Source organism: Homo sapiens, chromosome 1 (assembly GCF_000001405.40).
Source record: "Homo sapiens chromosome 1, GRCh38.p14 Primary Assembly".
NCBI classification, from domain to species: domain Eukaryota; kingdom Metazoa; phylum Chordata; class Mammalia; order Primates; family Hominidae; genus Homo; species Homo sapiens.
In genome coordinates, this window is record NC_000001.11 from 113,888,816 (window position 1) to 113,914,155 (window position 25,340).

General features: G+C 43.4%; 2 protein-coding genes and 1 long non-coding RNA gene across 24 annotated transcripts in view, besides 3 other annotated features; 2 read left to right on the forward strand and 1 right to left on the reverse strand.

The window, feature by feature from the left end:
• AP4B1-AS1 (AP4B1 antisense RNA 1) overlaps positions 1-12,422 on the forward strand; it is an 88,626-nt gene extending 76,204 nt beyond the window's left edge. For both annotated transcript variants that reach the window (NR_125965.1, NR_037864.1), the window contains exons 4-5: positions 9,053-9,174; positions 11,057-12,422. This is a non-coding gene — a long non-coding RNA (AP4B1 antisense RNA 1). The remainder of the gene's footprint in view (positions 1-9,052; positions 9,175-11,056) is intronic.
• AP4B1 (adaptor related protein complex 4 subunit beta 1) lies at positions 5,379-16,213 on the reverse strand. 17 transcript variants are annotated; one of them, NM_001253853.3, is made up of 11 exons: positions 16,127-16,213; positions 15,790-15,978; positions 13,823-13,919; positions 12,940-13,070; positions 12,421-12,568; positions 11,089-11,585; positions 9,903-9,986; positions 9,025-9,128; positions 7,443-7,650; positions 6,942-7,223; positions 5,379-6,677 (listed from the first exon to the last, which is right to left on the reverse strand). In NM_001253853.3, exons 3-11 carry the CDS (start codon positions 13,861-13,863, stop codon positions 6,250-6,252), a joined length of 1,923 nt encoding a protein of 640 aa, NP_001240782.1. In that variant the 5' UTR covers positions 13,864-13,919; positions 15,790-15,978; positions 16,127-16,213; the 3' UTR covers positions 5,379-6,249. The 17 variants fall into 17 exon arrangements, 16 of the variants coding, with proteins under 16 accessions (NP_001240782.1, NP_006585.2, NP_001425302.1 ...); NM_006594.5 differs by having other exon boundaries at positions 13,823-14,047; NM_001438373.1 differs by having other exon boundaries at positions 13,823-14,047; positions 16,106-16,213.
• Positions 15,620-15,679: an enhancer, noted in NCBI's record as "active region_1539". NCBI's record gives its function as "activates an Ori minimal core promoter by ATAC-STARR-seq in GM12878 lymphoblastoid cells {active_cell/tissue: GM12878}" and the evidence as "EXISTENCE:reporter gene assay evidence [ECO:0000049][PMID:35858748]".
• Positions 15,760-16,319: an enhancer, noted in NCBI's record as "active region_1540". NCBI's record gives its function as "activates an Ori minimal core promoter by ATAC-STARR-seq in GM12878 lymphoblastoid cells {active_cell/tissue: GM12878}" and the evidence as "EXISTENCE:reporter gene assay evidence [ECO:0000049][PMID:35858748]".
• On the forward strand, positions 15,804-25,271 carry DCLRE1B (DNA cross-link repair 1B). 5 transcript variants are annotated; one of them, NM_001363690.2, is made up of 5 exons: positions 16,511-16,960; positions 18,181-18,346; positions 19,194-19,376; positions 22,316-23,023; positions 23,317-25,265. In NM_001363690.2, exons 1-5 carry the CDS (start codon positions 16,772-16,774, stop codon positions 23,340-23,342), a joined length of 1,272 nt encoding a protein of 423 aa, NP_001350619.1. In that variant the 5' UTR covers positions 16,511-16,771; the 3' UTR covers positions 23,343-25,265. The 5 variants fall into 5 exon arrangements, with proteins under 5 accessions (NP_001306876.1, NP_001350619.1, NP_073747.1 ...); NM_001319947.2 differs by lacking the exon at positions 18,181-18,346 and adding an exon at positions 15,804-15,893 and having other exon boundaries at positions 16,654-16,960; positions 22,316-25,271; NM_022836.4 differs by having other exon boundaries at positions 22,316-25,271.
• Positions 16,350-16,399: an enhancer, noted in NCBI's record as "active region_1541". NCBI's record gives its function as "activates an Ori minimal core promoter by ATAC-STARR-seq in GM12878 lymphoblastoid cells {active_cell/tissue: GM12878}" and the evidence as "EXISTENCE:reporter gene assay evidence [ECO:0000049][PMID:35858748]".

A 25,340-nucleotide genomic window follows, 5' to 3' on the forward strand; every position in this document is an offset into this window, starting at 1 on the left:
TGGGAGGCGGAGGTTGCGATGAGTCGATATTACGCCACTGCACTCCAGCCTGGGTGACAGAGCAAGACTCTGTCTCCAAAAAAAAAAAAAACAAAAAAAGATTCAAGCATAAACAGTAAGTCAGTTGTTCAGAATGGAATTTCTATCTTGCAAAATATCAAAGCCAATCTTGTGTTTTCTGTTCCATTCTAAAACACATACAACCACTGCACACCTATTAAAATGGCCAAAATCCAGAACACTGGCAAAACCAAATGCTGGTGAGGATGTGGGTCAGGAACTGTCATTCATTGCTGGTAGGAATGCAAAATGGTACAGCCACTTTGGAAGAGTTTAGCAGTTTCTCACAAAACTAAACATCCTCTTACCATATGATTTAGCAATTATACTCCTTGGTATCTACCCAAAGGAGCTGAAAACTTATCTACACAAAAACTTGCACATGGTTGTTTATAGCAGCTTTATTCATAACTGCCCAAACTTGGAAGCAACCAATATGTCCTTCAGTAGGTAAATGAATAAATAAACTGTGATACATACAGACAATAGACATTATTTAGTGCTAAAAAGAAATGAGCTGGCTGGGCGCGGTGGCTCACGCCTGTAATTCCAGCTACTCAGGAGGCTGAGGCAGGAGAATTGCTTGAACCTGGGAGGCGGAGTTTGCAGTGAGCTGAGAGGGCACCATGGCACTCCAACCTGGGTGACAGAGCAAGACTGTGTCTCAAAAAAAAAGATCAGGCCATGAAAAGATGAGGAGGAATTTGGGTGGTAATTGGACTTTGGGTAATAATTGATGAGGTAAGTTCATCAGTTACAACAAATTGTACCACTTTGATTGAGGATGTTGATAACAGAGAAGACTATGCTTGTGTTGGGGCAGAGGGTATATGGGAAATCTCTGTACCTTTGTTTCAATTTTGCTTTGAACCTAAAACTGCTCTTAAAAAGTCTTAATTTTTAAAAATGATCATAAATTGCTTTTGGAGTAAGAACACAAATTATGTTCCCATGTAGCTAAAGTGCTATTTTCATTTGTCATTATCTGTCGCTCATTCTCTCTAGAGGCAAAAGGGCTGAAACCTCATTATTACTAAGTAGGCTTCAGACTTTTAACATCAGAAGGGCGGGCACTCAGAGAAAATTCTAGGCTAACCTCCTTTCACATTAGAGCTAGCCACTGACAGTTGAAGGATTCTAAAAAATACATTTGTGACATACTCCCAAAACAATATATAAAAAATAAAAATATTTATGAGACCATCCAGCTGGTATTAAATAGCTTGCCCAAGTTCACACATCAGTAAGTGGCAGAATATAAATTTTAAACCAAGTCTGTCTTACATTAAACTCAAGCTTTTCCCACAGTAATAAACCACGTTCCTCATTTCACTATCAATACGCTTATGCCATCTTTGAAATCGAATTTTGAGTCCAGGGGTGGTAGCACGCACCTATAGTCCCAGCTACTCAGGAGGCTGAAGCAGGAGGATCACTTGAGCCCAGATCAAGGCTTCACTGAGCCATGATCACACCACTGCACTCCAGCCTGGATGACAAAATGAGACTCTGTCTCAAAAAAAAAAAAAAAAAAAAAAATCTAATTTCAACTCCTTTGCATTGTCTTGTATAATCAATGTTGTAAAGCTATAGAAACAGAGTACAGGCTGTCATTAGCAATGTGGAGTAAATTTTTTCCAAGTTTGTTTACTTCTTCTGGGCCTTCAATATAGCACCCTCCAAAACTATCCCTTTCCCTCAGCCCACATACCTTCACCCTTGCAGTTGTAATATTGTGCTCTTAATTATTACTGAAAAATCACGAGGCCAGAATTTTTTCACCGTCACTTGTTTCTCTTGCCACCCTCTGACCACAACAAATTACATCCCTCCCCAAAATGCTTTGTCTCATATCATTGGCTTAAAGTCCAGGATCTTGTCATCTGTACCAGATGTGCATGTGGATGAAGATCCTTGAGTGTAACTCCTCTCAACATGGAGACTTGTAACTAAGAAAACAAGTAATGTGTCCCCTCTCCCCTAAACATCCCATATCTAAGAAAGGAATAGAATACTTTTAACAGAACGCCTGTTCAAAAATAGGGGTAATGGAAACACATCACAGTCACTGATTCATAACTATAAAATGATGGTAATATGCAAATTATTGCCTCTGCAGTGTTCCAAAACACTATTGTCTTTGTGGAACCTCATTACATACGTAACATACTGTTTACCTGTCAACTAAGAATGACATTAGATGGCTGCTGTTCTAAGAGCACAGTATAGACTACCTTCATGGATTGTAAAATATAAACATCTACTTATATCACATCATCAAACCCCATGTCTGCAGAAGCTATACAGAGTTCCTAGCAGGGGAAATATTAAAGAATTAACTTCATAGTATACCTGAGCTTTAGTCATTTTGCTTATAAATTAGTAAAACCAGGCTACAGGAGAAATCAGTTCTTCATTGAGATAATCTTAAAAGTATATTTTCCAAAAGCAACAATTTCATATTCTATGTATTCCTCTTACATTATAGAAAAGCAACCAAGTAGAACATAGTCTTCTAAAAGCTCCAATAGTTGGGATCACTTTAGTATTATTATTTATTCAGTTGCTTAGTCATACCTAATTTTCTTTAGATCAACATTTCAGTTATAGTCTTTAATTTTAAAAAGTCAATAAGTTTACTCAATTTCTACCACCTGCATCCTGTTCCCTTGCTACGCCTTTTTTTTTTTTTTTTTTTTTTGAGATGGAGTCTCACTCCGCCACCTGGGCTGGAGTGCAGTGGCACAATCTCGGCTCACTGCAGCCTCCGCCTCCCAAGTTCAAGCGATTCTCCTGCCTCAGCCTCTCGAGTAGCTGGGATTACAGGTACCCGCCACTACACCCAGCTAATTCTTTGTATTTTTAGTGGAGACGGGGTTTCACCATGTTGGCCGGCTGGTCTCAAACTCCTCAACTTGTGATCCACCCGCCTCAGCCTCCCAAAGTGCTGTGATTGCAAGCGTGAGCCACCACGCCCGGCCCCTTGCTACACTTTGAATTGGCAGCACTTCAATTTTATTTCTCTTAGTACCTAATTAAACATTCACCATTTAACTGAACCATAAAAATACAGAAAATGCAATTCTGAAGCTGTTCTAATCCCTCCCTTTCCTGTCCCTGAGGATCCATGGTCTAAATCAGTGGTTCTCAAGTAACAGCAATTTTGCCGCCTGTCCCAGGGGACCTTTGACAATGTCTAGAGACATTTTTAGTTGTCACAACTGAGGGTTCTACTGGCATCCAGTGGGTAGACAGAGGCCAGAGATACTGCTAATAATCATTCTACAGTGCAGAGGAAAGCCCCTCACAACAAAGAATTATCTGGCCTCAAATGTCAGTATTGCCACTTTTAAGAAATCCTGGTCTAGAATAAGTTCCATCATTTTCCATATAGTTGATACAATATCATAAAACCCATTTCAAACATCAATCCCAAAACACATCAGAATCTAATTATATACAGCCATTCATTCAGTAAAGATTTACTGAGTAATACTATGTGGCAGGCACTATGGAAATAAAAGGAAAGAAAGAATCATTCTTAAAAGTTGTTCAGGCGAGGCACGGTAGCTCATGCCTGTAATCCCAGCACTTTGGGAGGCCGAGGCAGGTGGATCACCTGAGGTCAGGAATTTGAGACCAGCCTGACCAACATGGTGAAAACCCATCTCTATTAAAAATACAAAAAATTAACTGGGTGTGGTGCGGGCACCTGTAATCCCAGCTACTTGGGAGGCTGAGGCAGGAGAACTGCTTGAACCCGGGAGGTGGAGATTGCAGTGACCCAAAACCACGCCATTGCACTCCAGCCTGGGCAACAAGAGCAAAACTCCACCTAAAAAAAAAAAAAAAAAAAAAAGGTTGTTCAATGGGGAAGTCCATTCAATAAACAACTCACAAAACCCAGGCTCTTACCAGAAAATTCAATACTGTCTGTTATCTACTCCTATTAAGAGCTTAGTTGAGGCTGGGTAACACTTGAAGTCAGGAGTTACCAGCCTGGCCATCATGACGAAATCCCATCTCTACTAAAAATACAAAAATTAGCCAGGCGTGGTGGTGCATGCCTGTAGTCCCAGCTACTTGGGAGGCTGAGGCAGGAGGATGGCTTGAATCTGCAATGTAGAAGTTGCAGTGAGCTGAGATCACACCACTGCACTACAGCCTGGGTGACACAGCAAGACTCCGTCTCAGATTTAAAAAAAAAAAAAAAAAAGGCTATTTGAGAGAAGTGATAGGTGAAAAATTATCTGAAGGTATGTGCTTATCTATATCTAGGTAGTAAAAATCCTTGAATTAAGCTGGATGATAAAGGCTATATACTTGGATCATGTTATCTTAAGTCCTTGAAGAAATGCCTTCATTAAGCACCATGTTATTATTATTATTATTATTATGGAGACAGGGTCTTGCTCTGTAGCCCAGGCTGGAGTTCGGTGGCATGAGCATAGCTTATTGCAGCCTTGACCTCCTAGGCTCAAGCAATGCTCCCACCTCAGCCTCCCAAGTAGCTGGGACTACAAGCACACGCTGCCACACCTGGTTAATGTTTTACTTTTGTAGAGATGGGGATCTCACTACATTGCCCAGGCTGGTCTCAAACTCCTAGCCTCAAGTGATCCACCCACCTTGGTCTCCCAAAGTACTGAGATTAAAGGCGTAAGCCACCATATCTAGCCTACTTTTTTTATGTTCTTTTTTTTTGACAGGGTCTCCTGTCACCCAGGCTGGAGTGCAGTGGTGTGATCACTACTCTCTGTAACCTCAAACTCCTGGGCTCAAGCAATCCTCCTGCCTTAGCCTCTTGAGCAGCTGGGATTTCAGGCATGTGCCACCATGCCTGGCTAAGTCAATTTTTTTACAGACAGGGTCTCACTATGCTGCCCAGGCTGATCTTGAACTCCTGGCATCAAGCAATCCTCCCTCCCTGGCCTCCGAAAGTGCTGGGTTACAGGTGTGAGCAACTGCACCCAGTCTAAGCTCTGTATTAAAGTCATGCTCTCTGCTTTCGTTGAAGAATACTGTTAAGAAAGTCATGTGAAACCCATTACTAACTTCTCATAGGATCTTGCACATATCTTAGTACCACCTATGTGAAACTACATGTACATTTCTTTTAGAAATCAATGTTTCTTCCTCTCTGATGACAATTATAACTGTTTCCCTTAACTCTGACTGCTAAATCACCTATAGAGACAAATCAAGGCTCAACTATATCACCTAATAGGCCCATACAGCCTGAACATTTGTATATTTCCCCATCCCCAACCTAGCTGGTCTTAACTGGTATTTTAATTTTTCCCATTCTGGATTCGCTATTTATATTTTACCATCATTTTATTAGATTTGTTCTTGCCATAAGTTGCTTCAATGTACAAAATGTGGTCAGATAAGAACAGAATAAAAATTGAGGACAAGCAACAAGAAAACAATTACAATACTACTGCTAGAGGTATGCTCTGGCTACTTTGATAGCTTGAGGGAGGCCCCTAATGAAGGCAGTGAGGGTTAAAGGAAACTTCCTGAAGGAGCTTATGAGTGAGCTGAACACTGAAAGATAGACGAGGTGTTAATTCAAGAAGATATGAGGGTGAGAAAATGTTCCAGGCAATAAATAAAAGCAGGTTTAAGTTAACACAGAGGTGAAAGAAGCAGGTGTATAAAGGGAACTGCAATGCAAATGGTTTGCTTCTGCCAGAAAAGAAGTCATTTTGGGAGTGGCAAGACTTGACACCAAAGAGGTACTTTAGATGACATTAAGGACTTTGGAATCTGGCCTAAAAGCATGATTGGAAATATGAGAACAGTTAGGAATTTACTATAATAATCCAGGGAAGAAAAGATGACCCCCACAAATGATGACCCCTATCAGTTTCCACACATCAGCCATCTTTAATTACTAACACAATTCCTAAAATTGATTAGGAAATAATCCAAATCCCATCCTCAACGCATCTCCTTACCAACATTAACCTCTACAACATCATCACTGAAAAATGGGGTCAATTGCCAATAGGAATGAAAGGAATGAATCAATGTTCTTTGGCCAAAAACTTAAGAATCCTGATTTCTAGATTTTCCACTCTCCTTTGTATCTGATATTATCTGGACTTACTGGCAGCTCTAATAGGAAAGACTAAGAAAGTGTAATAGTTATTCATCTTACTCTAGACAAGCAACAAGACTCTGTTATGATTTTATTTCTTCAATTGTTCCAATCACAGTTTCTAATACAGAAATAAAACTATTCAGCGTCTCCGTTCTTGCTTCATTTTGTTTCACAGAGATCTGCATTTCTGAGTTTCCAGGCTCCAATAGCAGTTCTGTTAAGAACAGACAGCCAGTATCATCCTGAGCACTGAGGTATGCTTTCCATGGCCGAGACCCAGCCCTACTCATTGCGATGGTCTGGATGTTCACTACTTGAAGAGCCATCTGGAGGGTGTCAGGATGGAATTCTCCCCGCCAAGGCAACACTTGCTGATGAGCAACTTTAAGGCTAAGCCAAGTTTTCTCAAAATAATCAGCAGTAAGCTGGCGATTGGGGACTAGCATGAGGGCTCCAGAATCAGGGAGTTCTTGTACCCTCTCCTTGTTCTCTTCAGGAATCAAGGGTCCTAAAAGAGACAGAAAACTTGTGTGAAAGATGTTCTTAATCTGTAGGAGCTAAGTTTTTTATCCAAATTCCCAAATGTACACAATGTGACTTTTATTTTTGGACAAATGGCTGAAATAACCAGTGACGAACCTCTTTCTTGCTCACAAATGCTTCAAATTCAGGCAACAGTCTGAGGTTTAGTGCTAAGATACTCTACTTTCCACCAATCATTGAAAAGGTAAAGATTTATCATGACAAGATTTAAGGTAAGGACTGTTTTTACCTGATGCGGCAAAGGATGAAGTTTTAGGAAGCTCTGGGTCACAACGCTCTGCCCCCTGGCATTTAGAGATAGTTGCCCAGTGGGCTTTGCCATACACTGGCACCAGTGTGTTGAAGTCTGAGGCCCAGCTATTCACAGGTCTTTCTGCCGGATCCTCCAAAAGTCCAAGAGTAGGGTCAGATTTAGGGCTACACAGAATCCGCTTAACTTCATCAATGCCAACTAAGAGGAGGCGATAATAGAAGAGACCTCGGTCCCGTACAGCCATATCTTTTTCTTCCTCTGAGGTAAGACAACAGATTGACTTCATTAAAAACAAAACCACTTTCCTCCTACTCTTGTGCCAACCATAATAGGAGAAAAAAATGAAGGAGAGAGGAAAACCTAGGAAGCATTCACATTTTCTTCTCGGGTCCCAGACGTGACTCACCAAACAATGAAAGCTATTAAGAATTTTTACTATGGGTCATGGCAAATACTATTTCCTTCTGAAAAACCCACCTATGCAGTAATACAACAAACGTCCTAGCATGTCCTGGCACTCAGCAGGTCGGGAGAGGAAAAGGCGCAGCAAAGCAGTGAGCAGCTCCATCTTAACAGCTGGAAATGTTTCCGACTTCACATTCTCAACAAAGTCCTCTAACACATAAGGAGCATTAGGAATTCTTTCCCCATGGACACCAAGTAGCCAAATAAGTGCTTGCTTCCCCTAGAGAATAAAGGAATAAGAGCAAGTGCTCAACACTTGACTGTCTAAAACACAGGAGATAATAGACAGCCACTGGTTTTGCTTTTCGCTTAGTGCCAGCAGAAAAGGTGTAATCTTTAGTTTACTTCATTTAATTTACTGATTCCCCGTACTATACTCTCTACAACAAATAGGAATGAAATTCTAATACACAAGAGGAAACTCAAAACTTTCATAGCCTATGTTGGATTAAGCAATAAATAAGGTTTCCTCAGGTTTGGGGCCTTTGGCCCTATTGGGTTTTAGTGTTTCAGTGGAAGCTGCTCAAAGAATTTCTCTAAATTTTTCACAAAAATGGTTACTAACCTAGAGTGCACATCAGAGTCATCTGTGAAGCTTCTTAAAAATGTATCTGTCAGCCGGGCACGGTGGCTTACGTCTGTAATCCCAGCACTTTGGGAGGCCGAGGAGGGTGGATCACCTGAGGTCAGGAGTTCGAGACCAGCCTGGCCAATATGGTGAAACCCGTCTCTATTAAAAATACAAAAATTAGCCAGGCGTGGTGGTGCACACCTGTAGTTCCAGCTACTCGGGAGCCTGAGGCAGGAGAATTGCTTGAAACCAGGAGGCGGAAGTTGCAGTGAGCTAAGATGGCATTACTGCACTCCAGCCTGGGCAACAGAGCTAGACTCTGTTTCAAAAAAAAAAAAAAAGTTATCTGTCTAGGTCCAACACCCCTGAATATTTAAGTCAGTAGACCTGTGATTACGTCCAAATCTTTGTAAAAATTTCACAAATGATTATAATTTTCATTCTAGCTAAAAACTCCATGGTCTAAATCTCTGACTCAAAACTGTTCAAGAGAAGCGGGGCACAGTGGCTTATGCCTGTAATCCTAGCTCTCTGGGATGCTGAGGTGGGTGATCACTTGAGGCTAGGAATTCTAGACCAGCCTAGACAACATAGCAAAACCCTCTCTACTAAAAATACAAAAATTAGCTGGGCGTGGTGGTGCACACCTGTAATCACAGCTACTCTACTCAGGAGGCTGAGGCAAGAGAATCACTTGAGTTTGGGAGGTAGAGGTTGCAGTGGGCCGAGATCACGCCACTGCACTCCAGCCTGGGCAACTCTATCTCAAGCAAAGCAAAACAAAACAAAACAGAACTGTTCAAGAGAACAATGGTATCACAGTTTTGTAATAAAACCCGTCGGATAAATCTTGTTTTTATAATTTATATGCCATCTATATCCAAAAGAGAATCTAAGGTGGCAATCAATTCGAAGAGTGCCCACTTCAAACACAGGGTAGAGAGAATAATTAGATTCCATTTCAAAGGGCAGGGTTTCAAGCATTCTCCCCCTACCTAGAAGTAAAGGAGAATTACAGTCTACCTCACTATCTTGAATGTTCTCTTCACAGCCGGGCAGGGCCTGACATACAGCTTCAGTACACTGAGGACACAACCAAACCAGGTCTCGGAAAGTCTGCACCACCACTACAATACAGGCCAGGGTACAAGAGCACAGGATTAGAGCCTCCAGGTAGGCAGGAATCTTAAGAACAGTCATGTATTCAGACTCATGATTCTGGCTGGATTTCTGTAAAATGGGTTTTGGAGGTGTGGTCAATGGTTATCTAAGAAATGTAATGAAATAAGCAATAATTTCTTGAATGCATATTGCTCTTATCAGATTGACATGAGGATAAATGAACTAATGTATGAAAAAGCACTTTGTAAAACATAAAGCTGTATGCAAATGTGGGGTAGTATTGCTGTTGAATGAAACACTAAAGACAGTATAAATAGAACCACCAGGCCTGGGAAAATGATAACACAAGTGAGGTGCCTAGGGTTCAAAATTGAAGAAGACATGCAGGATTGGCTCTTGCAGGAACCTAAGAGTGAGTGCCTTCTTAAATTTTGCATCCTAGGCATCTTGCTTGACTTACCCTTGTCCCAACCCTGGAAGCCACTGCCTATGGCATACTGCCATAAAACAAAAAGAGAAGTAAAGATGGTGAAATATCAAGCAAGGTCATCCTAGTAGCCTTCATTATCTATAGTACAGCCTTATAGATCATGGCAGCCTGAAGACTCAATATCCTATTAGATCTATAGACTTTATGCTTCTCTAACAGCAACAGATGATGATGCAAGGAAAAGTTCAAATCTCTATATTACTCATTCAACAACAAACATGTTTTGAGCAACTACTATAGGCCAGGCACCTGACAAAAAAAACAAAAATCCTAAAAAGGCAGGCATTACCTGTGGTAATGTGCTCTTGTCGAAGACCCAGCAACTCTGTTAAAATCTGAACACATTGATCTGTGTAAGTCCTGGCAATGCCACCTACAAAAGAAGGGAAAGCAGAGAAAACTGCTAAGTGAAATATTAGCACCTCAATCTAAAATCATCTCCCACCAGTGAAAGACAAAAGAAACAGAATTATCTAAAAAAAAAAAAAAGAAAAAAATTCACTCCTTACTTGATGAACTAAGAATATAAGTTTACTATAAAGGGAACTTTGGTAAAAATCATTTTTTCTCACTGACTACTAGAAAACTGAAAGCTCATAGCAAAACAATTCCCCATTAAACAAGGTTGAAAACTTATAGTAACAAAGGTATTTACATGGCAGCCAGATATGAGGTACCCTTTTTGTTGCAGCACACCTGCAATGGAGTATTTTTGTGGGGGACACTTGACAGCAGTCTCCTAAGGATTTCTTGTCTCCTCTTTGCTCCCTCTTCTCTGCCCCTAAAATAACCATGCTTTATTCCAAATATGAGGGTTGCTCCTCCTCCTGTACTTGAAATCCTTCAAAACTTGGCTCAACAGCTGTTTTCAGTTTTTGAGTCACTCCAGCCTTTCAAATTCCAGACAGGGTACTATGAAAAAGTCTGTAAGATTTAGGAATTATTCTGTGTTGGTCTACATTCAGCACAATACATAGCCCATAGCAGAAGCTCAATAAATGACTGGTGGATTAACATAGGACTTTGAGTCAGGAAAGCTGGATTTCAGTCCCATTTCTAAAACTATGTGCCCTTTTGGCAATTTGATAACTGTTTTTGTGCCTGAGTTTCTTCATCTTTAAAATGAAGTTAATGACATTTGTCTACTTTTCCTGACTGTCTCACGATACTGTGGTAAGATGATGTATAGGAAAGCATTTTGGATAGAAGACAACAACAATTTTAAGTATTGTAGTTTGTGTTACCTGTATTCTCCATCCTGGAAGATACAGCAACACCAATCTTGACCAAAAAAAAACAAAAAACAAAAAAAAACTCTCTTCCCCCGTGTTTGTAGTCACTGACCCAATTATTTAGTGCATAGTACTTTGCTTCTGAAGCAAGATTCATGCCCTTTGCTCTCTATGGTTCCTCTAACCACAGTTTTCTTGCTGGCTGGTCTAGGTTCTCAAGAAGGAAAAGGAGCAGACACCTACCTATGGCAAAGATGGCAGCCTGTGCAAAGTCCGCAGACACATCCGTGCAGTACCCTCGAAGCTCCTCTAGCACCTGCTGCACATTCTCATCGTTCACCAGTTCACACAGCACCTCCACTTTCTGTAGTTTGATGTAGTGGGGCTCCGAGTAGGAGCAAAAAAACTTTTTGTAGTGGCTGCTAAAGTGACCTGGTAAACTATGCAAGATCTGGCGTACATGACAAAGAGCAACAAAACAGAGCTCACGGCTCTCTGAAGAACAGGCAGCTAGCAAAGGTCCCTTGACCCGCACAAGGACATCAGTTTGTACGTGGGGAAACATTTTTGCCAAGATCAGAAAAAGTTTGGTAGCTCCCATCACCACACCTGGGCTACTGCTCTTGAGGAAACTATCCAACAGATTGAGAATGTCAAATAGTTCTTCCTCACTGCGGGGTTGGTAGCGTAGCAGAAAGTTCAATACTTCAGCCTGGCCCCATTGGTCCAGTTTTGACATTCTATCCAAAAAACAAAACAAAAGAGCTATTTTAGCAACAAAATTAGGACCATTTCCATGCCACTGCCATATGACCAGGTGGTTGTTCATCATAGCAAAGGGAGAATTCTTAAAAATAGGCTGTGCCATAATTAAGTCACTTTTCATGTACTATTTAAAGTTTACACAAAAAAGGCTTAAAATTCCAAGATGAGTTGTTAATACAAATGCACACTCCTCTAAGACCAAAGACATGATCAGCATACACTGGGTCCAGGTTCCTTACATTTTAAGACACTATAAATGGCTTAGTTTGGGGGACATGACTAGAGAAGGGTAGAACCTATTCCCACAGTATATTTCTATTTCCCTATATCAATAAGGGAAAGTAAGGCAAATAAAAGAAATTCTCTCAGTGGAATGTGAGGGAGTTAATAGTGGTTAACTGGCCGGGCGCAGTGGCTCACGTCTGTAATCCCAGCACTTTGGGAGGCTGAGGCGGGCGGATCACCTGAGGTCAGAAGTTTGGGACCAGCCTGACCAACATGGTGAAACCCTGTCTCTACTAAAAATACAAAATTAGCCGGGCATGGTGGCGCATGCCTATAATCCCAGCTACTCGGGAGGCTGAGGCAGGAGAATTGCTTGAACCCAGGAGGCGGAGGTTGCGGTAAGCCGAGATAGCGCCATTGCACTCCAGCTTAGACAACAAGAGCAAAACTCCGTCTCAAATAATAATAATAATAATGGTTAACTTTCTTTTCTACCCCACATAAGTTGTTCAATACTTTAATACATCAACAAGATCCCACAAGGTAGCAGATCTCATAATAAAAAGAGTGCTGAGGCATCCAAACCGATTTAAGAGATGGTGAGCAATGGGCTTATTGATGACAACGCCTCCTTCCTGTTTCAGAATTTCCTCTAGAGACCTCAAGCAGTTCACAACTACAATTGGATCCTGGTCACGCAGCAAACTGTATAATTCATTTACCAGGGCACCATCTATAAAAAAGAACAAAGTTCTTAGATAAAGAAGGAAAGCTTCAGAGTAACAAGGATGTAGCCAGAGTAATAGCTCCAGGTAGACAAAGTTGAACTTCTCTGCTACAAAAATGACAAAGGCCACACTAAAGTGCAAGGCAAAAAAAAAACTGCCATGTCCAGACTGTTCTAAGCAGCTAATACAAAGGATCTCATTGGGGCCCCAGAGAAAGGACTTCTCATCTCCAGAAGATACCAAGCCCTGCATCCTACTTAAAGAGATATGTACAGAACTGGGGCCACATTATTATTTTCTACCAAAGCCACACAATCTTTTTTAAAGTTATACATAATGGAGGCACATTGACCATGATGGATTACACTGAACTTACCTACTTCAGAGTCTCCATGAAGATTATGCATCTTGGCACATCCAAGGACTGCCACTCTCCTGACATATGAAGCCTTATCCCGCAGACCATTGAGAATAGGCTGTTGTATATACTCCTGCACACCAGGCATCCTAAGCAACACATCCTGGAGTTAGCCAGATTCTGAAATACTAATTTTGACATACCTCAGCCCCTGTTCACCTAACAGATGGTTTAGTAGATGCTGCACCCATCAGATCATGAAGAATTGCAGAAAGCCTCTATCAAGCTTAAAAAGCCATAATTTGACTTTTCTGTTTTTTTCTTGTTTTTTTCAAGATGGGGTCTCACTTTGTCACCCAGTGGCCCGATCATAGCTCACTGCTGCCTTGAATTCCCGGGCCCAAGCCATCCTCCTGCCTCAGCCTTCCTAGTAGCTGAGACTACAGGTGCGTGTCACCATGCCCATTTAATTTTTTGTAGATATAGGCTCTCACCATCTTGCCCAGCTGGTCTCAAATTCCTGGGCTCAAGCAATCTTCCTGTCTAAGCCTCCCAAAGTGCTGGGTCTACAGGCATGAGCCACTGTGCCCAGCCTAATTTGACTTTTCATTTGGAATAATGATGCACAGGCAGCAAAAAAAGATATACACATAATTGTTTAGAGATATTTAACCAAAACTGAGGACTATTTTACTTAGAGTGAGAATCAAAAACTCCCTCTAATAAAATTATATGATACAGGTTATTAAGCCAAAGCAGTGGCTGAAAATCTGAGTTCAGGGTACAATAATGTTTTCCCCAGTATTAAGGAGCTCAAATAAATTATCCTCTTTAAAAACCTACCCTGTGATCACTTGAATTCATCAGCCATTTAGGACCAGACAGAGAAGAGGGTACTCACCTGAGGCTACACATGCTCCGTAACGCCAGCCCTCGCACCATTGGATTGGGGTCTGAGCAGTCTTTGCACAGCGTATTGATGGCCAGGAGAGCCAGATCTGGTTTCAGGGGAGCATATGTGCACATGTACAGATAAACCAACTTCTTCTGGACAATATCTACAGTGGCACTGGCCTTCACCATTTCCATAAAAACACCAGACATGTCCAAGCCTTGAGTCATGTACCTGAACAACGCACATGACAGAAGGAAGTAAAATGCAAAATCCCCAACTTACAATGGAGGGAGTTTTACTTACATATCTCCTGATTACCCAACTAGATTGTGATCTCTTAGAGGGTAGCAGCCAGGATTACCTTGTCTATTATATCACACAGTACTTCATACCATAGGCCTACAATAAACATTATTCTTCTATTCATTCAACAAACACTTATTATTATTTTTGAGACAGAGTCTTGCTCTGTTACCCAGGCTAGAGTGCAGTGGCACAATCTCGGCTCATTATAAGCTCCGCTTCCCAGGTTCAAGCGATTCTCCTGCCTCAGCCTCCCGAGTAGCTGGGACTACAGGTGCGTGCCACCACGCCCAGCTAATTTTTGTATTTTTAGTAGAGACGGGGTTTCTCCATGTTGGCCAGGCTGGTCTCGAACTCCTGACTGCAGGTGATCCACCCGCCTTGGCCTCCCAAAGTGCTGGGATTACCAGCGTGAGCCACCGCACCCAGCCTCAACAAACACTTATTGAATCCCTAGTACTTTGGTGAAATTCAACTTTTACATCCAGGGACATGCTCTTGGGACATAATCTTGAAGAAGGTGTGGTCTCAAACCTCTAGGAACTTCAAATCTATTAATGAGCCAGATGAGAATACCGTTAATTACAGTATGATAGATAAGTACTTAAACAGAAGTATTGTACAAGGTGTAGAGGGGATTCAGAGGTCTGACACTGGCAGGAAGTCAGAAAATGTTTCTTCACAGAGGAAGTAATACTTTAGCTGAATGAGCAGGAGCTCACTAGGCAGATGTAATAGCAAGGTAAAGATACATGCTATGAGGTAAGTAGACATGAGCAGGAGCAGCACACATTTTTTTAAGAGTCTGTAGGTAGTTGAATTAACAGCTTGTTCCTTGGGTGCTGTGATAAGTTTGGACTTTATTGTTTCTCAGACTGGTCTCCTACTGGAACCAACTGAAATGTTTATTAAAAATACAGATTCCTGGGTTCCCTCCCACCCTACTGAAATCAGAATCAGTCCCTGGACTGGATGACAAAAAGCACCCCAAGGGATTTTTATGCATAGTAAAGTTTGTGAACCATAGCTGTAGGCAAGAGTTATGTGTTCAGGTATGTATAATGGAAAAATTCTGTCTCAAATGAGGCAAAGTGGCCTACTAGTAAGCTGCTGCAATTGCTTTATTGATGAAGGCCTGGACCAGAACAACAATGCTAATAAACAAGAGAGGATGGATATTTAGAATTATGAATTCAAACCATCTGACATAAGAAGTGAGAGATCAGGTGTCCTCAAGGTTGGCTCCCACGCATAGTCGGCTGCTGGTGGCATTCATCAACACAAATGTAAGCTGAACAGGTTTGAGGAAGACGGAAGAATGTCCGGGCTATTTCGGACATACTTTTGATAAACCACGCACGTGGAAATGCCAAGCAGGCAGTGGGATACGTGGGTCTGAAGCTAAAAAAGGAAGTCTGTACTAGCTATATTATAGATCCAAGAGTCACCAGTAATTGCTCAAGCCCGTGATATGGAGGAAACTACCCAGCTGAGTAAAAGATGCTGCAGAGGGGAGACTGACATGGTACTCCAAAGCAGCAGGACGAAGACCGAACCATATAACTGCCACGTGTGAAAGCTAATTCACCCTTTCAGAGAGACTGGGGCTAGTGAGCCCTGATGGGGATTGCAAAGGGAGCAGTTAGCACGCGAAGGGAGGTAGGTGATACCTAATCACTCGCTGGATGACATTCCGGTAGCGCAGCCTATCAGCTTGAATGTGAGGATTGCACAGAGCCTTCTTCAGCTCCTTCACCACGTCCTCGGAGCCAAGGTACGGCATCTTCCTAAGAGTCACAGGGCAGCTCCCACAGCTCCCACGGTAACTCGAGGGCTCCTTCTCGTCCTGATGTGGGAGCCTGAGTAAAGGAAATATGAGTCAGTGAAAATACAAAAGGCGAGATCTCGCCTCAGGCTCGGCTTCCGTAGGGCCGGCACGCTGGCCCTGACACACTTCCACGCCCTCCGCGACACCGCGAGCCCCACCCTAGGCTCTTCAGGCCCTACCGTCGGCCGGCAGGCCGTTCGCCCCGCCCACAGATCGCTCCCGCTACTTCTAGGTCCTCCGCCGGATTTCCAGCGCCGCGTCCGACTGACCGCAGACCCCTCCCTCTCCAGTTCCAGCCTTAATTCCCCCTCCACGCCGTTCTCATCGCGGATAGGCCCAATCTTGCTTTCTGCGGAAGTCCCGCCCCCTTGTCAAGAGACCAAACAGAAGACCGCTGCCGGTCTCCCCGCGAGCGAGCGCTAAGCGTAGTCCCGACTCCGACCTTAGGATGCCCTTCCCCCAACCTCTCACTCTCCAGGCGCAGCTGCGCGGCTCCCTCTGGTGGAGCTGCGGCGGGCAATCGGAAATCGGCTACTTTGGCCTGTCTCCTCCCTGCAGCGCGCGCTTTGAGTGCCCGGCTCGGCCTCCGCTCCCGCGCGGTTGGGAGTGTCCAGCGCCCTCCGCGATTTGGGCTCCAGCGGGCAGGGTGACTTCCTTTTTCTGCCCACTCTGGTAACTTATTGCTCTGCTGGGCTCTTTCCCTTAGGGTCTCTGGCCCTGTTCTTGCCCCAGCATGACTTTTATCGGGACGCCGTTGTGGAAGCCTCACGCAGGAGCCCTGCCCCCGTGGAGAAGATCCCACTGGTGACTCCAACCCTACCACCATGAATGGGGTCCTGATCCCCCATACGCCCATCGCAGTGGACTTCTGGAGCCTGCGCCGGGCTGGCACCGCACGTCTCTTCTTCTTGTCTCACATGCACTCGGACCACACCGTGGGCCTGTCTAGCACCTGGGCCCGGCCCCTCTACTGCTCCCCAATTACAGCCCACCTCTTGCATCGTCACCTACAGGTATGGGGCTGGAGTCGGTCTCCGAGAGCTGGTCCAGGCATCTGGGTTGGGACTTCAACCTGTCATTCTTGGAGTCATAGAATGGGGGCCACGAAAACTGATTTGGAAGTTGTTTGAACCCAAAAATGCATCTTTAACCCAGAATAGGAACGTGTTTTCGAAGTGACCAACTTGAGATAGTTAGCCATAAGTTGAGGAGATATTTTAATCCAGCCAAGGAAACTATTCCTACCTTTATAAGTAAGCTAGGCCGATGTTTCCCAAACTTGCCTTTTTTTTTTTTTTTTTTTTTTTTTTTTGAGACGGAGTCTCGCTCTGTTGCCCAGGCTGGAGTGCAGTGGCGCAATCTCGGCTCACTGCAGCCTCCGCCTCCCGGGTTCAAGCGATTCTCCTGTCTCGGCCTCCTGAGTAGCTGAGATTACAGGCGCACGCCACCACGCCCAGCTAATTTTTTGTATTTTTTGTGGAGACGGGGTTTCACCATGTTGGCCAGGCTGTTCTCTAACTCCTGACCTTAAGTGATCCGCCCGCCTCAGCCTCCCCAAGTGCTGGGATTACAAGCGTGAGCCACCACGCCCCGCCTAAACTTGCCTCATCTTAAGAATCCACCTAATGTGCTGGGTGGTTCTCCAGCTCTCTCCCCACCCCACCCTTAAGTCTCCAAGAGATTAAGATCAGGAGTAAGTTTGGGAATTGCTGACTAGACTGTTTGCTGAACTCTTTTTTTTTTTTTGAGATGGAGTCTCGCTCTGTCGCCCAGGCTGGAGTGCAGTGGCGCAAACTCGGCTCACTGCAAGCTCCGCCTCCCGGGTTCACGCCATTCTCCTGCCTCAGCCTCCCGAGTAGCTGGGACTACAGGCGCCCGCCACCACGCCTGGCTAATTTTTTTTGTATTTTTTAGTAGAGACGGGGTTTCACCGTGTTAGCCAGGATGGTCTCGATCTCCTGACCTCGTGATCCACCCGCCTCAGCCTCCCAAAGTGCTGGGATTACAGGCGTGAGCCACCACGCCCGGCCAGCTGAACTCTTAAATTGTACAAAGGGTGGGATGGGAAGTGGAAGGAGGAAGGGCAGATTGCTTGGGAATCCCCATTACAGCTTCTGCTCCCGGTGGCTCAGGATTTGGTCAGCTTTCCTGATTCATGTAAGGGATAGTCCCTGACCCGGGGAGGTAACGGAGAGGAGTCAGTGGTCACTGGGATGACTAACTGTTTTCTCAGGTATCTAAGCAATGGATCCAAGCCCTGGAGGTTGGTGAGAGCCATGTATTACCCCTAGATGAAATTGGACAAGAGACCATGACCGTAACCCTCCTCGATGCCAATCACTGTCCTGGTTCTGTCATGTTTCTCTTTGAAGGATATTTTGGAACCATCCTCTACACAGGTGGGCCTCTCAAGGAATCCCAGTGACTTCTCCAGACTAGATGTTTTTTTTTTTTTTTTTTTTTTTTTTTTTTAATGTATAGACTGGGGCCTCGCAGTGTTGCCGAGGCTGGTCTCAAACTCCTGACCTCAAGCAATCCTCCCGCTTCAGCCTCCACAGTAGCTAGGATTATTGGCACAAGCCACCACACCTGGCAGACTTTTCTTGAGCAGCCTTAACTCAATAGAAGTCTGGAGGCGCTGGAGGCCTTCTAACTTCATCACATATGAGCATAGTGACCCCATCTCAACTGATTTCCCACTGTTTTTTTTTCCTTCTTCTTTTTGAGACGGAGTTTCACTCTTGTCACCCAGGCTGGAGTGCAGTGGCGTGATTGTGGCTCACTGCAACCTCCGCCTTCTGGGTTCAAGTGATTCTCTTGCCTCAGCCTCCCAAGTAGCTGGGATGACAGGCGCCTGCCACCACGCCCAGCTAATTTTCGTATTTACTATTAGTAGAGACGGGGTTTCACCATGTTGGCCAGGCTGGTCTCGAACTCCTGACCTCAGGTGATCCACCTGGCTCGGCCCCCCAAAGTGCTGGGATTACAGGTGTGAGCCACTGCGCCTGGCCGATTTCCCACTCTTTAAGGGTCCGAACCTTGTGAAGAGTAATTGAAAAATAGGAGTAGGATGGAGACATTACAACAAAGAAACCATGCAGCTATACTGCCTAGTTCAGTGCCAGGCTACATAATAGTTTTTTCACAGACTAGTAAGCAAACGCCTGTCTATTGTTGGAGGTAGGAGAGGCTTGTCTTCTATTCTTTTGTCTCTGACCTTCTGCCCCCATGTACATATTCCTCCAGGTGATTTTCGATACACACCATCCATGCTAAAGGAGCCAGCCCTGACACTGGGGAAACAGATCCATACTTTATACCTAGACAACACCAATTGCAATCCAGCCCTGGTTCTTCCTTCCCGACAAGAAGCTGCCCACCAGATTGTCCAGCTCATTCGAAAACACCCACAACATAACATAAAGATTGGTGAGTTGTTTCCTTTCAGTTTCCTGTCACCTGTAGATAGTGAACTAGATTCTTTAAGGATTCTCACATCTTTCAGATCTTTGTGCAGTTCTCACTTTCTCCTACACTGACCACCTTATTTAAAATTGCAACCTGGCTAGGTGTGGTGGTTCATGCCTATAATCCCAGCACTTTGGGAGGCCAAGATGGGAGGGTCATTTGAGCCCAGGCGTTTGAGACCAGCTTGGGCAACATGGCAAGACCCTGTCTCTACAAAAAATTTAAAAATCAGTTGGGCACGATGGTGCGTGCCTGTGGTCCCAGCTACACAGGGGACTGAGACAGGAGGATTGCCTGGGTCCAGTAGGAGGTCAAGGTTGCAGTGAGCCATGTAAGTGCCATTGCACTCCAGCCTGGATGACAGAGCAAGACCCTGTCTCAATAAATGAATGAATGAATGAAATAAGTAAAACTGCAACCTGCCCACCATCCCCATTCCCAACTCCTGATCATCCATACCAATTCATTTTTTTCATTTTTTTATAGCACTCATATACTATATATATTTTTAAATATGCTATTGCTTACTTGTTGTCTATCATGCACTTCCTCTGGCCCATGCACATACGCGTGCACACACACACACACACAAGCATAAACTCCTTAAGAGCATCACTGGAAATGGGAAGAGACTTTGTGTGTTTGTGGAACAGAGAAGCAGCAGTCAGTATGACAGGCACACAGTGGGCAAGGAGGCTGAAAAGGCAAGAGGGGCTGAAGTGCTGTTAAGCCATTTTGGACTTGATCCTAAACCCAACCAAGAGCTATTGAAGGATTTTAAGTAGAAGAGGGACAATATGCACTCATCACCTTGCAATATATTCTATAATTTATGTATTTATTGGACTTTTTATTGTCTGATTCCCCCTGCTAGAATGTGAATTCCACTATGGCAGTCTCTGTTTTATTATGGGTGTATCACAAATGCCTACACTAATGCCTGACACAGAAGCATTCAATATGAATGAATGAAATTTATCAGAACATAGATATTTAAGTGAGCGTTGTGCTTTAAATTAAGTATACTGAAAAAACAGGTTTGTGCTTGTTGTACTGATTATAAATAGTATAAAACATTGTTGAGGACTCTTTCTTGGAGTTGCCATTTGGAATAGTTTATGAAAATACATTTTTGTTTTATAAAATAAATAAATGTAATAGATTTGGTTCTAAATTACTTTTTTGGTTGTTTCCAAATTTGTGAGTCTACAAAAGGACAAAGACTTGCCACCATTATAAATATTTGAAAAGGACATGTCTCAACTCTGAAAGGAGTTTCAAAATGAGACTAAACAAAGGCATTGAAAAAATTATATAACTTCCAGGGTGACTACCAAATCGATTGAGAAATATCCTCTACTCTCAGGATTGCTTAGCTACTTATAAAGACCTAACCATTCTTAATATTTTAATGCAGAATTTTCTCAAAAAAGCAAAGCTGGCTAGGAGGATGCTATAGTAAGCCTTAATTAATTTTGCAAATATGTAATAAGCCTCTACCCACTAAGTACCAAGTATCCAATAGGCAGTGGGGATATAAAGATGAATAAAATATAGTCTCTGACTTGGAGGGCTCACAGTCTGGTAGGGAAGGACCTGTGGGGAGGTGGAAGTGGGAATATATATAGAGAGAAGAAAAATCCGCTCCATTTGTGCCCAAGGAGTGAGATTTTGAACCATAATCAGGAATAAAGTGGATATAAATAATATATACTTCTTTTTATGGCGTTCACAATCTGGTTGTGGATTTGAAACTTCTTCAGAAAAAGTCTGAGAACAGCTATTAAACAACATCTCCCATATCTGTTACCATAACCATTTCCCAAATTAATGTCTCCATTTCTTTCTCTGTAAGTACTATTTGGGCCCTTCAATTGAAACTTCCACTCCAGCTTCTTCTCATCCTGGCAGTCAAATAATATTATTACCATATTTTTCTTTTTAAAGCCCTGCTCTGAGCATATTATTCTTATGATTAGAATTAGCCATTTTCCTGCTTCACACTCAGTGGCTCCCCTTCACTTACACAATGAAGTCCAAGCTTCTTAGCGGTACATATAAGACGCTCTATTATATGGCCCTTGCTTGCCTCTCTGGTATCATTTCTTATCAATTCCTTTTTTACTTTAGTAACAGCAAACTGACCCCTCTTAAAATGTTTTCCACTATACCCTTTCTACCCTTTCCTTGCCAGGTTAACCTTGCCCATCCTTTAAGATTTAGCCTAACGTTCCCTAACTCCATCACCTGTTAGATACAATACTGTATACTTTTTTTGTTTTTTTTTAAGAGACAGGGTCTCACTCTGTTGCCCAGGCTGGAGGGTAGTGGCATGATCACAGCTCACTGCAGCCTGGACCTCCCGGACTCAAGTGATCCTCCCGCGTCAGCTTCCTGTGTACCAGGAACTATAGGCGTGCACCAACATGCTTATTTGTTTATTTTTGTAGAGACAGGGTCTTGCCAGGTTGCCCAGGTTGGTCTTGAACTCCTGGGCTCAAGCAATCCTCCTGCCTCAGCCTCCTAAAATTGTAGGCTTACAGGTGTGAGCCACAGTGCCCGGCCTGTACACATATCTTTAACGTTGCTCTTAATTGTGGTTTTTCTGGGTCTCCTTGTAGATAGTACTTCTTGAGGACTGACAGTTTTCTTTATTAGTTTTCATGGTGCCTGAAACTTGCTAGATGCTCTCTTTTGTTGAACTAAATGAATGAGTGGATTCTGTGTCATTCCCTTTCATATGTCTTAGCTCAAATGCCACCTCTTCCTTGATATTCTCCCTGGATTTCTCCATGAATTGTATCTATTTTTGTTAAACATTTTGTTGATTTATTAGGATTTTCCAATAGCTTAATTTTCTTCCTTCTCTTACTTTCCCCAATACATTGAACATTATTTAGGACTCTACAGCCTGGGAAAGGAATCACTGCTGGAGCAGCTGGCCCTGGAGTTTCAGACCTGGGTGGTATTGAGTCCTCGGCGCCTGGAGTTGGTACAGCTACTGGGCCTGGCAGATGTGTTCACAGTGGAGGAGAAGGCTGGCCGCATCCATGCAGTAGACCATATGGAGATCTGCCATTCCAACATGCTGCGTTGGAACCAGACCCACCCTACGATTGCTATCCTTCCCACAAGCCGAAAAATCCACAGCTCCCACCCTGATATCCACGTCATCCCTTACTCTGACCATTCCTCTTACTCCGAGCTTCGTGCCTTTGTCGCAGCACTGAAGCCTTGCCAGGTGGTGCCCATTGTAAGTCGGCGGCCCTGTGGAGGCTTTCAGGACAGTCTGAGCCCCAGGATCTCCGTGCCCCTGATTCCGGACTCTGTACAGCAATACATGAGTTCTTCCTCTAGAAAACCAAGCCTTCTCTGGCTGTTAGAAAGGAGGCTAAAGAGGCCGAGAACCCAAGGTGTTGTGTTTGAATCCCCTGAGGAAAGTGCTGATCAATCTCAAGCTGACAGAGACTCAAAGAAGGCCAAGAAAGAGAAACTTTCTCCCTGGCCTGCGGACCTTGAAAAGCAGCCTTCCCACCATCCTTTGCGGATCAAGAAGCAGTTGTTCCCAGATCTCTATAGCAAAGAATGGAACAAGGCAGTGCCTTTCTGTGAGTCTCAAAAGAGGGTGACTATGTTGACGGCCCCACTGGGATTTTCAGTGCACTTAAGGTCTACAGATGAGGAGTTTATTTCTCAAAAAACCAGGGAGGAAATTGGTTTAGGGTCCCCCTTGGTACCCATGGGAGATGATGATGGAGGTCCAGAAGCCACAGGGAATCAGAGTGCCTGGATGGGCCATGGTTCTCCCCTGTCCCACAGCAGCAAGGGCACCCCTCTTCTAGCTACTGAATTCAGGGGTCTAGCACTCAAATATCTTCTGACTCCAGTGAACTTTTTCCAGGCAGGGTATTCTTCCAGGAGATTTGACCAGCAAGTGGAAAAATACCATAAACCCTGCTGAAGACAGGAGAGTACAGAATGACAACATTGAGCCCACACTGCAGTTTTGAAGATAGTAACTGATGGCTGGTGGGAAAGAGTTTGTTTTTGGGGCCTACTTTTCTATCTTTACAAGACTCTTATGGGCCCACCGTGGAGCAGCACTTCCCAAAACTTGTTCACTGGGGTCCTCGTGCCTATGGAATCCTTCTTTTTATAACTAAGTTTAAGAAATACTTTTTTTATAAAATCTTTGGAGTATGCGTGAGCAAATTAAAAGTTCTTTGAAGTCCTACAGTAACTTAATCTGTTTAACCTTGTTTAACCCAGTATTTCTCAAACTTTTGTGAACATGCAATCATCTTATGTGGGTACAGAAAGAGGTAAAGAGTCTGAATCAAAAAGGACCAGGTTATTGCTGTTGCTGTTTTGTGGTGTCATGAGCCATTCTCCATGTCCCCTTCTCCCTCTTCTCAGATCAAAATCCCTAGGGAGTTCTATTTTTAAAATTATGAACTATGGCGCTGCATGCTTCAATCCTGAACGTCACTGACTTGCTGTGACCATCCAAATAATTTTCCTGTCTCTGCCTCTGGGAGGGAACAGGAAGCGATGAAGAGGTCTTGGAACAGTAGTGAAAATTCTACCTCTATGTCCTTCATGAGGATGTGCAGTATCCCAGTATCACTGGGATCCATGTGGAACAGAGCCAGCTGGGGGGTTGGGCAGCTCTCTCCAAGGCAGTACCTAGAGCCCAGCTGAACAACAAGGCTTTGGGTGTGAAGGGACTCCCCAGCCTGGAGACCCTATTTGGCTGAAACAGTTACAAAATATCAAATGTGTTGTCAGATATTCCTCCAATTGTTCACATAGCTGGGATATTTGTTGCTCCCCTCACCCCTTGGATTATGTAGGGAGCCAGTGCACACAGCCTGTTTGTTTTAGTATCCAAGGAAGAGACCAAGGAGCCAGCTGGCGGGAAGGGGTGGGGGTGTGCAGTCTGCCCTGTCCTTCTGCTCATAACCTGACAAAATGCCAAACTAGTAAGCAGGATAGCTGATACCACGGCTATGAGGGAGTAGGCTCTGAGAGGGCACAGACTTGTGGAGCTGGGCGTCTGGATCAAAACTGCTTTGGGATGGAACCTCGAGCCCTAGCAGTGAAGAAGATTCCATTTCTTGTCCAGGGGATTTAAAAGAGTTTTCTGCTTTGAGAGAGAAATAGAGAGTTTAGAAAGCAATTGCTCTTGGGAAAGCTATACACAGCTCTGTTTTGTCAATGACCTTTGTTGTAAGTCTCCCAACGTCCTATTAGGAGCCACAGCAGGTGAGGCATTTGGTGCAGCAGGAAACATGGGGACTGCCTAGGCTCGAATCTGTGGCACCCTGAGCAATTACTTAAATTGTGGAGCCTAGTTCCTCATCTGTAAGATGGACTTGAGATTCCTACCTCTCATGATTACTATGGAGATTGAATAATTGGTAAAATTCTCCTAGCTCAGTGACTGCCACAGGATGGGTCTTTCAGATTTTGGTTCTCTTTAGCTTCTGGTTCTTGAAAGAAATTAATCTGTATATAACATAAGAAACTTTGAAAGTCAAAAAAACAAAAAATTTTAATTCCTCGTAGATTAATTGATTTGCTATCTTTTAGTTTTTTTTTCTATGCATGTAGATGTATTAAATATGTAAATGTTTTTCAAAGTTGAGGTAATATTGTATAGAATTTTATAGCCTACATTTTAATTTCTTGATATCTTAAGCATTTCACTTATTAGATATTGTTCAAAAATGCCATTTTTAATATTTGTATAATACCCTATCATGTGAGTATACCTTAACTAAGCCATTCCCATATTCAACATTTTGTGTACTGTTTTTCTAATTACATATATTACAATGAACAACCTTATGCATATATTTTGCATTTTTATTTCCTTAAAGTAAATTACTGGAGTTAGATTATAGTTTTAAGTTCTTGATACCA

Bases quoted from the DNA above. Each gene is read 5' to 3' on its own strand.
- AP4B1 (NM_006594.5), bottom strand. From the start codon at position 15,902: ATGCCGTACCTTGGCTCCGAGGACGTGGTGAAGGAGCTGAAGAAGGCT. The intron at 9,987-11,088 runs GTAGGTGTCTGC...CTTCTTTTGTAG, and splicing joins GGCTGCCATCTTTGCCATAG to GTGGCATTGCCAGGACTTAC. The intron at 7,224-7,442 runs GTGGGTTTTTCA...GTCTTACCTCAG, and splicing joins TTTGTTGTATTACTGCATAG to AGGAAGAAAAAGATATGGCT.
- DCLRE1B (NM_022836.4), top strand. From the start codon at position 16,772: ATGAATGGGGTCCTGATCCCCCATACGCCCATCGCAGTGGACTTCTGG. The intron at 18,347-19,193 runs GTGGGCCTCTCA...ATATTCCTCCAG, and splicing joins TGGAACCATCCTCTACACAG to GTGATTTTCGATACACACCA. The intron at 19,377-22,315 runs GTGAGTTGTTTC...AACATTATTTAG, and splicing joins ACAACATAACATAAAGATTG to GACTCTACAGCCTGGGAAAG.